This window comes from Homo sapiens, chromosome 15 (assembly GCF_000001405.40).
Source record: "Homo sapiens chromosome 15, GRCh38.p14 Primary Assembly".
NCBI classification, from domain to species: Eukaryota; Metazoa; Chordata; class Mammalia; order Primates; family Hominidae; genus Homo; species Homo sapiens.
In genome coordinates, this window is record NC_000015.10 from 43,020,958 (window position 1) to 43,035,369 (window position 14,412).

The following is a 14,412-nucleotide window of genomic DNA, read 5'->3' on the forward strand; positions in this document are numbered from 1 at the left end:
CCCTCAACTGGAGTATATGTTCCATGATAGTAAGCACCTTGTCTGCCTTGTTCCATCTAGAAATCTATAAGTGAGCATGGCACATGGTAGGTTTTCAGTAAAGTTGACTAAATAACGACAAAAAAAATGAATAAATCTTAGTTTATTTTTAAAACTACAATAAAATATAGGAAAATAGAATTATTAACATGAAAAATAAGTGATTATGAAAACCAGTAGTAAATGTCTACAATGGTACAGTGGTTTAACACTGGAGGCAAGCAGAGAATTCTTAAATATTTAAACCAAGATATGATCACTTTACTTTTTTAGTTTACCTGAAGTATCCACGTTATCATGTCCTTCTGGCCTTCTAACTGGGGAATTCCTTTGAGTTTTTCCAAAAGCATTTGTATATTCATGGCTGAACTTCCCAATCCTTTTTTAAAACACAAAATCACACATCATAAATACATAAAGTCATCTCTTGGTATCCTCAGGGAATTGGTTTCAGGACCCCTGTGGACATCAAAGTCCACTAATGCTCAATTCCCTTATGTAAAATGGTGTAGTATTTGCATAAAATCTATACACATGCTTCTGTATGCTTTAAATCATCTCTAGATTACTTATAATGCCTAATACAATGTAAATGCTATGTAAATAGTTATTAGATAATATTGTTTAGGGAATAATGACAAGAAAAAAAAGTCTGTACATGTTCAGTACAGTGACAACCATCCTTTTTCCTTTTTCCCCCTGAATATTTTCAAACTGCGATGGGATGAATCCCTAGATATGGAACCCACAGATATGGAGGGTCAATTATGTCTTCATAATTATGTACAAATTACAATTTCTAGTTAATGTTATTTACATTGATAACCAAGGTTTGCCAATCAATCCCTTAACTTCATTAATTATTCAATGGACAAATCTGCAATTATATGAAGTACTGGATTACAATGATATGATCTACTAAATTTAAAAATGACTTTAAGTCTCTCTCTTACATCTTTTACTGGCACTGCTAAGTGAAAGCTACCCTAAATATCTGTCTCTGGTCTTTCCTCTGCTTGACTCAACATCTAAGCAAAAGTGCTTAATGAGAAACAAAATTGCCAAAAATATTGAAGTGGAGGACTGTATATCCATAAACTGAATAGGTTTTTGATGTCTTCAGGGATCTAAAAAATACAGCATGTAAATAGAAAATGTTTGTCTCCTATTGTTTTTATAATCAACATGCCTGGAATGTGCTTTGAAAAAAACTATCTTAATCAGGTAGCATTTATTAGAAATCTAATTTAAAACTATCCTTTTCTTCCAAGTTGAATACAACGCAAAATGAACGTTATCATTCAGATTTCTATCATTTAAAATTCAGAAACAATATCTTATTAAGACATGTCACTTGAATGCTATGGTTGACACAGCAGCAAATATTTGATAATACTGAGATGAGGAATGAAAGTTAAAAAATACCAATATATGCAACCAAAAAAAAAAAAAAGTGGGGCGATCATGTAGTAAAAAGATTGTAGTAAAGATTATAGTAAGGGATTAAAAAATATATTAGTATACTTGAAAATATTAGTTACAAACTAAGAATGCTAGGAAAAAAATTATTTCAGGGTTACCTATGTTTTAAGGACTGACAGATTAAAACTCTGTAAGATATAAACTTTCAGGATTGACAAATTAAAACTCCTTAAGATCTAGACTTTCAATGACAAATGTGTTGAAGAGTGATACTCAAACATACTTGAAGCCTTATGATAAAAGTCAAATGTTACTTCTTCTTCAGGAGCTTTTTGAAGCTGTTGCTTCTCTTCTAGTAAACCCAATGCCAGAATATGAAAAGCCTGAAGGAGGAAAATAAGAGATCTTTAAAATTGCGCTTCTTCAGGTAAATATATTTTTAATTTAATTTTAATTTTTTTCAGAGACTGGTCTCACTCTGTCACCCAGGTTGGAGTGCAGTGGGGCAATCCTAGCTTACTGCAGCCTTAAGCTCTTGGGCTCAAGTGATCCTCCTGCCTCAGCCTCCTGAGTAGCTGGGGACTAGAGGTGCACACGACCACGCCCAGCTAAATTTTTTTTGGAGGGGGCGGGGGGTATAGACAGCATCTCACTATGTTGGCCAGGCTGGTCTTAAACTCCTGCGCTCAAGTGATCCTCCTGCTTCAGCTTCCCAAAGTGCTGCAATTACAGGTATGGGCCACCATGCCTAGCAAGGTAAATCTATTTTAAGTAGAAGTATAAAAATAAGAAAGCTGATAGGTAAAAAACACGGAAAGGTTTCAGCAGTTCACATTAAGCAGTTTACAGAAAGAGAAATGATGAATACACATATGAAAAATGTTCAACCTGGCCCGGAGCTGGTGGCTCACTTCTGTAATCCCAGCACTTTCGGAGGTTTGGGTGGGTGGATCACCTGAGGTCAGGAGTTCATGACCAGCCTGGTCAACATGGTGAAACCTTGTCTCTACTAAAAATACAAAATTAGCCAGGTGTGGTGGTGGGCATCTGTAATCCCAGCTGCTTGGGAGGCTGAGGCAGGAGAATCGCTTGAACCCAGAGGCGGAAGTTGCAGTGAGCCAAGATTGTGTCACTGCACTCCAGCCTACTCCAGCCTGGGTGACAAGTGAAACTCCATCTCAAAAAAAAAAAAAAAAAAAAAAAAAAAAGTTCAACCTCACTTAAAGAAAAATGAGTTGAAACAAGATCATCCTATTTTTCACCTATTACAGTGGCAAAAATTTTGGTGTTTAGTAAAATATAGAGCTGGCATAGGTATTGGGAAGTAGGCACTTTTGACCATAGTGGTGATGGTAAAGTAAACTGGTATAACATTTTTGGAGGCCAATTTGAAAACATCTATCAAAAATGTAAAGGTATATACCAACTATTAGGAATTAGTATGACAAATACGCTCCCTTAGGTATGCAAAAACATTTGTATAAGAACGTACATTTTATTGTTCTTTGTTACAGCAAAGACCTAGAAACACCTGAATGTCTATTAATAGGAGACTACTGAAACACATTATATCCATACAATGGACTACGCAGCTATCAAGAATAAGTAGATCTATATGCACTAATGTGCAATGATTTCCAGAATATACAAAACTTTAACAATGCTTATGTCCTATATAGCATACTGGGACTCAGGGAGAGAAATTTTAACTTGGTTTCAAACATATCTCTATGGTTTGAAATTTACTAGTGAATGTATTTATCAGTGTTATAATAAAAATTGAGGCACACATATGGCAATGACAGCATTTAGAACCTGTAGACCAACAATACTCAAGGAAAAAGGAACATTTAGTTAGGCAGGTATAAATAAATATGGTGTTACAACTACCATGACGTGGCATAATTAAGTAACGTGTATTTATCTACAACAGTAACAAGGAAAAGTAGCTGCTTTCACTTTAGCTAATTCTCCTACCTCTATGAATAATTACACTTTTATCCATTTTACTAATGAGAAAATTATTATTTGCTCCTTAAATAGGAAGTGGGGAAACCCAAGACTGACGTCTAGACCTATCTTCAAATTTTATTATACTGTCTCCTTATAATTCAAGTAAAATTAAAAATATAAAAAATCATGACACAATAACAACATGTCAATTTATTAGCATAAGTACACCTGTTTTTGTTTTCATGGGTTTTATTAAACAGAAATGGTTCCCAAGAGTAAGGATGCTAAAAACACGAGATCACTAAAAAAAATTTGTGCTGTGTGTAAGCTATTTTTAATGACCCCTATGTTTCCGGTGCTCTAGATGTGGTTCCAACTGAAGTTAGACCTGAGATCTTCCCTAGCTCCCCAAGAACTCTAGGACTTGATGTAGAGAAAATATTTCAGGTAAACAAACCATTTGGAGCATCCCTTCGGTCCACAAGTTAGAATCTGTGTCTATTGCCCGCTCAAATACGGTCCTGAGAATGTACATCATGATATCACAGTTGAGAAGGTTAATCACTTTGCTGAAAGCAGGGCAGAATTCAGGAGGTGGTGGTGGCGGCAATGCTATAGGAGGTGGGGAATGGATGGGGAAAGAGACAAACAGGTACATTTTTATTTGGGTTATCCTACATACTAAAGTGCAAATGTCAAAAAATAATAGGTTACATGCAAAACAACACATGCTTTTTTGCTACCTTTCCAGTACTGAAAATATCAATGTTAAGTGTAATGTAAGTACTATATCAGTCACCCAAAATGAACTACATTTGTTATCAATTTTAAATTCAATCACTACTGATATATACCATATCTTAATATGTGAATAAGAAGCAAAAAGCTCTTTGCACTTCCTTGAGTTGCCCACTCTCAAAAACCAACAACAACAAAAAACTATATGCTTTGCTGATGTGAAACCACAGAAAATAGTCAAAATGAGTCAATTCAGAATCTCACTTTTTACCTTCATCTTTGTTTTCTTGTTTTCTCCTTTTCTTCTGCATATGTTCAGCCTATAAAAAAATCTATCATTAAATATACTGCTTTGGAAGCATGAAACAAATGAAATACATTAAAGCAGTCAGGAAAGACCCAACCACCTATTAAAATACTTTATATACTGAAGCATGTATTCAAAATGCCTCTTTGTCCTAGAAATAAAATTGTGTTCTAGAGAAACCTAATGCAAAATAGATGAGGAATATCCCTGATCAAAAACTTAGTCTCCATTATTTTCTACTGAAAATATTTACCCAGTACCTATTATGCACAGGGTACTATGCTATGGGCTGTAAAGTATTTACTTGATAAGGACAAAGCCAGACATCACCTTAACTAACTGATCAAACTTAACATGATCCTTCATGGGACAAAAAGACGTATGTGCCTAATAATGGGATGCAATATATCATTTACATAGTATTCTTGCCAAAAACTGTTTAAGCTGAATCTATTTGGTACTCTATAGAAATGCCGATGTTACAAAAGAAAAAAATGCAAAAGAATTATCTTCTAAATTAAAGGAAACTATTGGCCGGGCGAGGTGGCTCACGCCTGTAATCCCAGGACGTTGGGAGGCCGAGGTGGGTGGAATCATTTGAGGTCAGGAATTTGAGACCAGCCTGGACAACATGGTGAAACCCGGTCTTTACTAAAAATACAAAAATTAGCCAGGCATGGTGGCATGTGCCTATAGTCCCAGCTACTCAGGATGCTGGGGCAGGAGAATCACTTGAACCTGGGAGGTGGAGGTTGCAGTGAGCTGATATCGTGCAACTACGTTCCAGCCTGGACAACAGAGTGAGGCTCCATTTCACAAAACAAAAACAAAAACAAAAAACAAAACAAAACAAAAACTAAAGAAACATGACAATCAAATGAGTGTGTGATGATGAAGTCCATGATGCTTGATTGAATCCTCTTCCCAAAACAGCTATTAAAGACATATGTAGTATAATCAGGAAAATCTGAATATTGCCTGTATACTAGATAAGATTATTGATTCAATTTTAATTCTTGGGTGACATAATGACCTCTATTAATAAGAACCAGCGTGAAACTATAGAAAAAGCAGAAAATTTTCTGTGGAGTTAGAAAGCATAAAGCATTTAGGTTTATTTACTGAAAAGGATACTTTTTTCTACCTTGCTATGCTGGGTTTTGGAGTAATGATAAAAGTACATATTGAAGTCTTTCAGTGATTCATCTTTTAGTTCATAAACTCCATGGCCTGATACACCTGGTTTCCTAAATAGATGGAAAATACAAGATGAACTGCAGTGTTCTTGAAGTATAAAATATAGACAAAATAAAAACCTAAAAATTAATCTAGAAGTCAAATATACAGAAAAAAATTATGTCTCATTTAGCTTATGAAAAATTCCATTGCAATAATAAAACTAAAAACCTACATTGTGAACACAAAGCCTGATAACAGCTAAGCTGTGTTTTATAATAATGAAATTCAAACAAATCTGGAGAAGTTTGTTTTATACTATCTAGAACTGATACCATGCCCTATCTCTAAAGCTTCTTAGAGATTTAAGAGTCTCTGATGCCTAAAGGTTGTCTGTTCAACTAAAGAACACTTCATTGACCTTAGACACTTCATTGTCTAAGGTCATATCTAAAACAGTAGGGAGACATCATAACCTTAGTAATTTGCAAATGAAAATATACTACTGAATCCTTTATATAGTACTATAAGGAAAATCACTGAGGTCAAAAGGAGTACTCCATATTTGTTCTAAACATTAAACAGCTTTTGGTTTCTATCCAATCTCTAAGTCGAATATTTCAATGAACATTACTAGATCATAAGAAAAGCTATACCCTATTTTAAAAGTTATTTGAAACTAGTAATGTATCTGTAAACACAATACTGTAACAAGTAGAAATTCACTATCAGTATCGATTTTTCAAATTTCAAAGATTAATACAATTAAATTTGTATTTCCATTTTATATACTGAAATGAAAATATTATAAAATACTGTTTTAATTCTACCAGAGAATAATCCAAAATTAGCATATAAAATAAAAATTTATAAAATAAATGAAATCATGGGTTCAGATTAATGGGAAAGAGAGTATCAGAAAAGTTCATTTACTTACTATCTAAATAAATCACCTAATATCATAAATGAGTATTTCTCATTCACTTGCCAAAAACACTCATTTTTTCAACAAACAGGTGCTAAGTGTCTACTGTGAGCCCCTCATTCTCACCCTTTCTAATCTGTATTCCACTCTTATTCTTGGGAGTTCAGGCAAGAACTTCAGAGCTTCTACAAAGTATCCAAAGTACAAGAACAAAGATCAAACTACCTTTTAGAATAAGCATAAATATTAAGCACTTACTTAAATGTGGCCACTTTGTTTATGACATTCTCTAAGCCAGTTTCATTATTTTCCTGTTGAAACAATATTTTTGTCATTTTTACCTTCATATAATGACTTCCACCTCTCTGTGAAGTGAAATACATTTTCTACTGCATCTCTGAAGTACTTTGTAAATAATTTTAAAAAGATCAATTTCCACTATTAAAAAATTAGGTCTAAAACCAATTATCTACGTTTTGGGAGACCAACTTCGTAAGAGGTAAGATGTATATATAAACTGTTTAAGAAAGGTTATCTAAGTTTGCCTTCATATGTGTGTATAAGTACACACATACATCTACAGCATACACACATAGTATTACCAATACTTCAAAGAAAAGAAGCTCTTCTTTATGTAGTATGTTCATCACCCTCATCATTTATGTACATGCCCATGCTGTATTAATCCCTAAAACCAAGGTAACAAAATTAATGAGCTCCAACTAGTTAATCTATAGCAATACATGTCTAGATGTCCTAATATATTCTACCTTTTGCAAGTTTTTTTCTGATTGACCTGATCTTTTCCTTAAATAGGGAACACTATTTTTTTACAAAGTCATTTAAAATTAAGATAAGGACCTAGTCAAACTACTACAGTAAGCTCACAGATTCCTGTAGGCTTGTAAAGATAAGAAAGGTAACCTCCCTTAAAAATACATATATTTGGCCGGGCACAGTGGCTCACACCTGTAATCCCAGCACTTTGGGAGGCCGAGGCGGGTAGATCATGAGGTCAGGAGTTCGAGACCAGCCTGGCCAACATAGTGAAACCCTGTCTCTACTAAAAATATAAAAATTAGCCAGGCATGGTGGTGCGCGCCTGTAGTCCTAGCTACTCAGGAGGCTGAGGCAGGAGAATCACTTGAACACAGGAGGCGGAGGTTACCGTTAGCCAAGATGGCACCACTGCACTCCAGCCTGGGCAACAGACCAAGACTCCATCAAACAAAAAAAAAAAAACAAACAAACAACAACAAAAAAATATATATATATATATTCCTTGGCCGGATGCAGTACATCACACCTGTAATTCCAGCACTTTGGGAGGCCAAGATGGGTGGATCACTTGAGGTCAGGAGTTCCAGACCAGCCTGGCCAATATGGTGAAATCCCATCTCTACCAAAAATAATAAAAACTAGCCGGGTGTGGTGGCGTGCACCTGTAATCCCAGCTACTCGGGAGGCTGAGGAAAGAGGATCGCTTGAACCCGGGAGACGGAGGTTGCAGTGAGCCAAGATTGTGCCACTACACTCCAGCCTGGGTGACAGAGCGAGACTTCGTCTCAAGGAGAAAAATAAATAAATAAAAACAAATACACACACACGCACACACACACACATCTCTATTCTACCTCTTTGGAAAGCCTTGACAGCACAAATAAGTATAATTATTTTTTAAGAATCATTTTTCTAACTCATATTCAAATCTCAGAGGGAAAAAACATGAGACTCATAATCTGTAGGACTATTACCACAGTATCTGTATATACAAAAATACAAATGCCACCTGTGGTGGTCATGAGAATGTACCTTGCAGACATCTGATTACAGGGAGTAAATAACCACGTGCCTCAACTGCTGTGCTCTGGTGAAACTAAGGCCAAGCTTCTCACCAGTCATTACCAGACAATGAGCAAGGCAGAGATACTAACGCAGGCTCATTCTGGGAGACATGGGGAGGGACAGATGGAAAGGCCATTGAAGCCCAGCAGTCTGGGATGCTTCTATGTAACTTTCCTTCCCTCTTTATTTCACTGGGAATCAGATTGGCATCAGAATCTGATGGCTCCCCTTGTCATTCCCAGATCCCTTACCATTGCCTTTAATAAAAATCTTAATGTTTTGTCACAAGATCTGCTTCTCAGAAGACCCAGATTAACACACCACCCAGTTTCAGAAGTTCCCTTTCAAGAAGTTCCCTTTTTTCCTCTGGAGTAATCTTTATTTTAAAGTAAACAAAAAGTAAAGGAGTTTCTCCCAGAATTAAAATTTATACCACTAAAGGATGAAGGTGATTGGTTTACATCTATAAGGTAATGATATAGGACTTTTTGCCTAAAATTTTGAAGTAGTTTCCAATTAAAGAAAAAGAAACATCTACCCCATCTTGAGGTACATAGAGATAAAACCAAAATCAGACTTACATTCTCAGGTAAATTTTTGGCAATGGCACTGTGTGGCATGGGTTCAATGCAAAGCAAGTGAATGATTTCTCTCATTGTGACCTCTTCTTTGGTCACATTTCCCACTCCAGGTACATAACGCTCACCTAGTTCAAATAATTAAAAACAAAAAAAAAGTAGAATAATTATTTTCTATTTAAATCTCTCCCCATCAGAAGCACTTACACACAGAACACTGCATTAAATTAAATCTGTGAGAGAGGGGCAAAAGTTATTTGAATGTGTTCCCAAATCTGAATAAGAATCTATGTTGAAAGACAGAGGCAGAAAACTGTGACCTGAAGGAGAATCCAGGCCTTGTCTTAGCTTACTTACACACATACAAACAAACACACATACATATACATACATATTCGTATACATACACATACACATACTCACACATTATAAACAAGGCCCCTCAAATAAATTAGCATGTGTTTCTAACCCAGAACACATGGCTGATGGCATCTGAATGAGCAGTGGCCATCACTGAATAGCTTTTCTTTCAAGATCTTTCTCAATTTTGTCTCTACTTGTTATTTAACAAAGAACAAAGTGAAAACTGAAAAACACAATACTTTAAAATGTCTTTATGTGCTAAATGACAAAACAGTAATATGTATTAAAAATGACTGGTGCTGTGAAAATGCCCACAAGGTCAGATTTCCATTTTCATCACAATAAACTGCCAAATGAAGAGAGAAAATAGCTAAAATAAGTATGAGAACTTCACCGGTGTCAACAGCATCTAATTCCGATTGCCTTAAGAAGGCTTACAATATGTGGCCTTATGTTACCACTGATTTTCAACACTACAGTATCTGTATGAAGTCCTATGATATCTATAAGAGGGTTACAAAGAAACCCCTTGCCTAAGAGATTTGATGAATTCTACAAATTTGCCAAAGAACGACTTTTTGTTAAGTGAATTCGTTTCCAACACATTCATTCCTCTTTACATTTGTAAAGCATTTTGTAATTTCCATAACTTTTCACCAAAAACAGTATCCCCTAGAATTTCAGTGCTAGAAGAAACCTTAGAGATCACGTAGGTTACCTCCACATTTTACAAATCAGGAATCTGAGGCCCAAAGAATGCAACTGCATGCTCTTGAAAGTTGGTAGCAAGGCCAAGACTAGAGTTCCTGATACTAAATCCAAATATTTTTCTATTTCTTAATGATTTTCCACTATAGATCAGAAATATAATTTTTTAAACAAAAATGTTGACTCCTGAGAGTAATGAACTTAAACTCAGGAGCAGAGCAAGTATTAACTAAAAATCAAATCACAAGAAAAAAAAAACAATAAATTTGGGCAAACACAATAATAGTAAAATAACAGTAGGAAAAATAAAACAGTAAAAATAAAACAGCAAAATTATACTACAATATTAGAGATTCTTTACATAGCACTCTAAGGACAAATGCAAAAATTTCCCTTGAGTTTTCCTAATTTGAAAAAGTATATAATCAATTTTAAAATCTTTTACACATTCTTAATTTGCCCATTTTTTCCCATCTGTTTCTAACTGGCATATTCTGGACAGGAAGGTTTAAGTCTCACTCAGCAATAAAGGCTTACTACACTTTCTGCTGAGACATGTAGCTGGTCTAGCAACTAGCTCTCTGACAAACAATAAGTAAAAATGAATCCATGTTTACAGACTTAGGTAACAGCTAGAATCCCCAACTAAAGAACTATTCAAACCAAACAGCGTTTGGTGCAGTAAAGTAAATAACAAAAGCCAGAATGAGAAGTCAAAAACAAGATGACAGCCGGGCGCGGTGGCTCACGCCTGTAATCCCAGCACTTTGGGAGGCCAAGGCAGGCAGATCATGAGGTCAGGAGTTCAAGACCAGCCTGGCCAATATGGTGAAACCCCGTCTCTATTAAAAAATATATACATATATACAAAAATTGGCCAGGCGTGGTGGCGCACACCTGTGGTCCCAGCTACTCAGGAGGCTGAGGCAGAAGAATCGCTTGAATCCAGGAGGCAGAGGTTGCAGTGAGCTGAGATCGCACCACTGCACTCCGGCCTGGGCGACAGAGCAAGACTCCGTCTCAAAAAAACAAAACAAAACAAAACAGAACAAGATGATGGCAATGAATGTACCAGGTGGTAAAATCAACACAGACTATGACATAGCATATATTTGTATTCAATAGGTTAGAATATAGTGTTTCTGCAGCAAATATTTATATTAATCTCAACTGAATTTCTATGGGTCAATGTCATAACTTGATAAACATTATTTCTGGCAAAGAACACTCTTTTTCTTTTCTCTAAGTAACCTTAACAAAGCTAAGTATGACCAATATTTGCAGAAAATAATTAAACAGAATGACATAATGAAAATATATTTCACTTAGACCTATAATATATATAAAATTTTTAGCACTAAAGGACCTCCAAATAAGTCAAAACATTTACAAATCAGGTACTGAAAAATAAAAATGTAAAATCTGTGCTTTTGTGAAGGTGATTTTCTAAATGCAGTATACGAATAAGGAGTAAAATGATCAATTATAGTTCATATAAATGGTCTCTCTAAAAAGTAACCCATGTTCTATTTCAAAACATTGTGTTTTAATCTTACCCACAATATAGATGAGGACCTGAAGCATTTCTTCTATTAGTGTATTATATTGTTTAATCAAATCCTATAGAATCGAAAAAGAGTAAATTAGTTATGGAAGAACCAAAAACCTCCATAAAACATGCATTTCTGGACGAGACTCATGGTCCATCCAGCCTAGTATTTTTCATCCAGTCCAGTATTTTTTTTGTATGTGTGCACAGCACAAATAGTTACAATAGTTCCCTTTTTTGACATCAAATTCAACAATACCTGGCATATAATTGCTAAATACTGTCATCATTTTCATTATCATTATCCCCCACATAGTCATAAATAAGCACACATGCTAATCTTCAACTCTTCTTCTATTATTTGCTGCCTTCTTACCTGCGTTAGTGAGAAAGTGCCTTCAAATAGATTGCCAACAGTTATATGGTGAGAGTATCCTTCTCTAACACGCCCCTCATTTAAACTATGAAATCAGATACTGATTTTCACTAAGTATAAAACAACTAAAAATTAGCTCTGCATTTTATATCCTATTCATGTTAGCCCTTTGCAAGTAACTTCTATTTTTTTCATTTAAAAACATTTTTTGGCCAGGTGCAGTGGCATGCGCCACTGCTCCTGGCTATCCCAGAGTTCTTTAATTCTTAAATTTGATTTAGAAATTTTATATGAGGCCAGGTATGGTGGCTCACACCTGTAATCCCAGCACTTTGGGAGGCCAAGGTATGCGGATCATGAGGTCAGAAGTTTGAGACCAGCCTGACCAACATGGTGAAATCTCGTCTCCACTAAAAATACAAAACTTAGCCAGGCGTGGTGGTGCGCCCCTGTAATCCCAGCAATTTGGGAGGCCAAGGCATGTGGATCACAAGGTCAGGAGTTTGAGACCAGCCTGACCAACATCGTGAAACCTCGTCTCTACTAAAAATACAAAAATTAGCCAGGCATGGTGGCATGCGCCTGTAATCCCAGCACGCCTGTAATCCTCAGGAGGCTGAGGCAGGAGAATCCCTTGAATCCGGGAGGCAGAGGTTGCAGTGAGCCAAGATCGAGCCACTGCACTCCAGCCTGGGCGACAGAGCGAGACTTCGTCTCAAAAAGGAAAAAAAAATTTATATATTTATTTATTATTTTTCCAAAGAAATTTTACTAGCAGGAGTAACTTCTAATTTGAAAGAATAAAATAATGTGATTTCATGAATTCAAAATAGTTAAGGGCTACTTTATAGGCTGGTACTTCAAATATTCAAACAATAAAGACGTGGCTGGGCACGGTGGCTCACGCCTATAATCCCAGCAATTTGAGAGGCCAGGGCAGGCAGATCACTTGAGCTCAGGAGTTTGAGACTAGCCTGGTCAACATGGTGAAACCTCGACTCTACTAAAAATACAAAAAATTGGCCAGGTGTAGTGGCTCACGCCTGTGATCCCAGCACTTTGGAAGGCCGAGGCGGGTGGATCACAAGGTCAGGAGTTCGAAATCAGCCTGGCCAACATGGTGAAACCCCGTCTCTACTAAAATACAAACATTACCTGGGCATGGTGGTGCACACCTATAATCCCAGCTACTTGGGGAGGCTGAGGCAGGAGAATGGCTTGAACCCAGGAGGTGGAGGCTGCAGTGAGCCGATTGTGCCACTGCACTCCAGCCTGGGTGACAGAGCAACACTCCATCTCAAAAATAAATAAATAAATAAATAAATAAATAAATAAATAAATAAATAGATAAATAAATGAGCTGGGCGTGGTGGCTTATCCCTGCAGGCCCAGCTATGCAGGAAGCTGAGGTAAGAGAATCACTAGAATGGGAGAAGAAGGTTGCTTTGAGCCAAGATGGCGCCACAGCACTCCAGCCTGGGCGACAGAGTGAGACTCTGTCTCAAAAACAATTAATAAATAAATAAAATAAAATTTGTATATTACCTCTGAGACAACAAAGATAAAAAAGACCAATGTCTTTATAGATGTACATACTGAAAGAGAGAGCTTAAATAGGACTTTCTTCTGAGAGCAATTTGACAATATGTATTAAGAGCCTGAAGAAAAACATGTTGTTGGCCAGGCACGGTGGCTCACCAGAACTTTGGGAGGCCAAGGCGGGCAGATCACCCGAGGTCAGAAGTTCGAGACCAGCCTGGCCAACATGGAGAAACCCTGTCTCTACTAAAAATACAAAATTAGCTGGGTGTGGTGGTGCATGCCTGTAATCCCAGCTATTCAGGAGGCTGAGGCAAGAGAATCGCTTGAACCCGGGGTGGGCAGAGGTTATGGTGAGCCGAGATCGCGCCATTGCACTCTAACCTGGGCAACAAGAGCAAAACGCCATCTCCAAAAAAAAAAAAAAAAAGAAAGAAAAGAAAGAAAAACACGTTGTTTTATCCAACAAATCCACTTCTAAAAATGTGTCTTAACAAAATAGAGAAGTATTTAAATACTGAGCTACAAATGTTTATAAGACCAACCAACTAGAAAGACCTCTTCAGTAATAGACTTTAAAGTATAATGCATCATATAGTGCAATCCTATATAGTTATTAAAAATGATGATATAATTGTGTACTTATTTCATGACAAGAAAAAAAACTTTTCACAATATGTTGTTAAGCATAGGAAGCAGATTACAAAACAGCACATTCACAATGATACAATTTTTGTTTTAAAAACAAGCAAGACACTAAAACTTTAAAAGTGATCATTTCTAGGAAGCAGTGTTTTTCATGTGATTTTTTTTCTTTGTTAATCTACATATTCTAATTTTTCTAGATTAAAAAGATTATATATGTGTATATATGTGTGCCATATGTATACATCT

General features: G+C 36.2%; 1 protein-coding gene across 1 annotated transcript in view; it reads right to left on the bottom strand.

The window, feature by feature from the left end:
* The window catches only part of UBR1 (ubiquitin protein ligase E3 component n-recognin 1), a 163,142-nt gene that overhangs the window by 78,061 nt on the left and 70,669 nt on the right, over nt 1–14,412 (bottom strand). Inside the window, exons 20-27 of the mRNA NM_174916.3 lie at nt 11,611–11,674; nt 8,987–9,111; nt 6,819–6,871; nt 5,604–5,706; nt 4,424–4,472; nt 3,872–4,026; nt 1,745–1,844; nt 318–418 (exon numbers count right to left, since the gene is read on the bottom strand). Of these exons, the coding sequence (NP_777576.1) occupies nt 318–418; nt 1,745–1,844; nt 3,872–4,026; nt 4,424–4,472; nt 5,604–5,706; nt 6,819–6,871; nt 8,987–9,111; nt 11,611–11,674 (750 nt within the window). The remainder of the gene's footprint in view (nt 1–317; nt 419–1,744; nt 1,845–3,871; nt 4,027–4,423; nt 4,473–5,603; nt 5,707–6,818; nt 6,872–8,986; nt 9,112–11,610; nt 11,675–14,412) is intronic.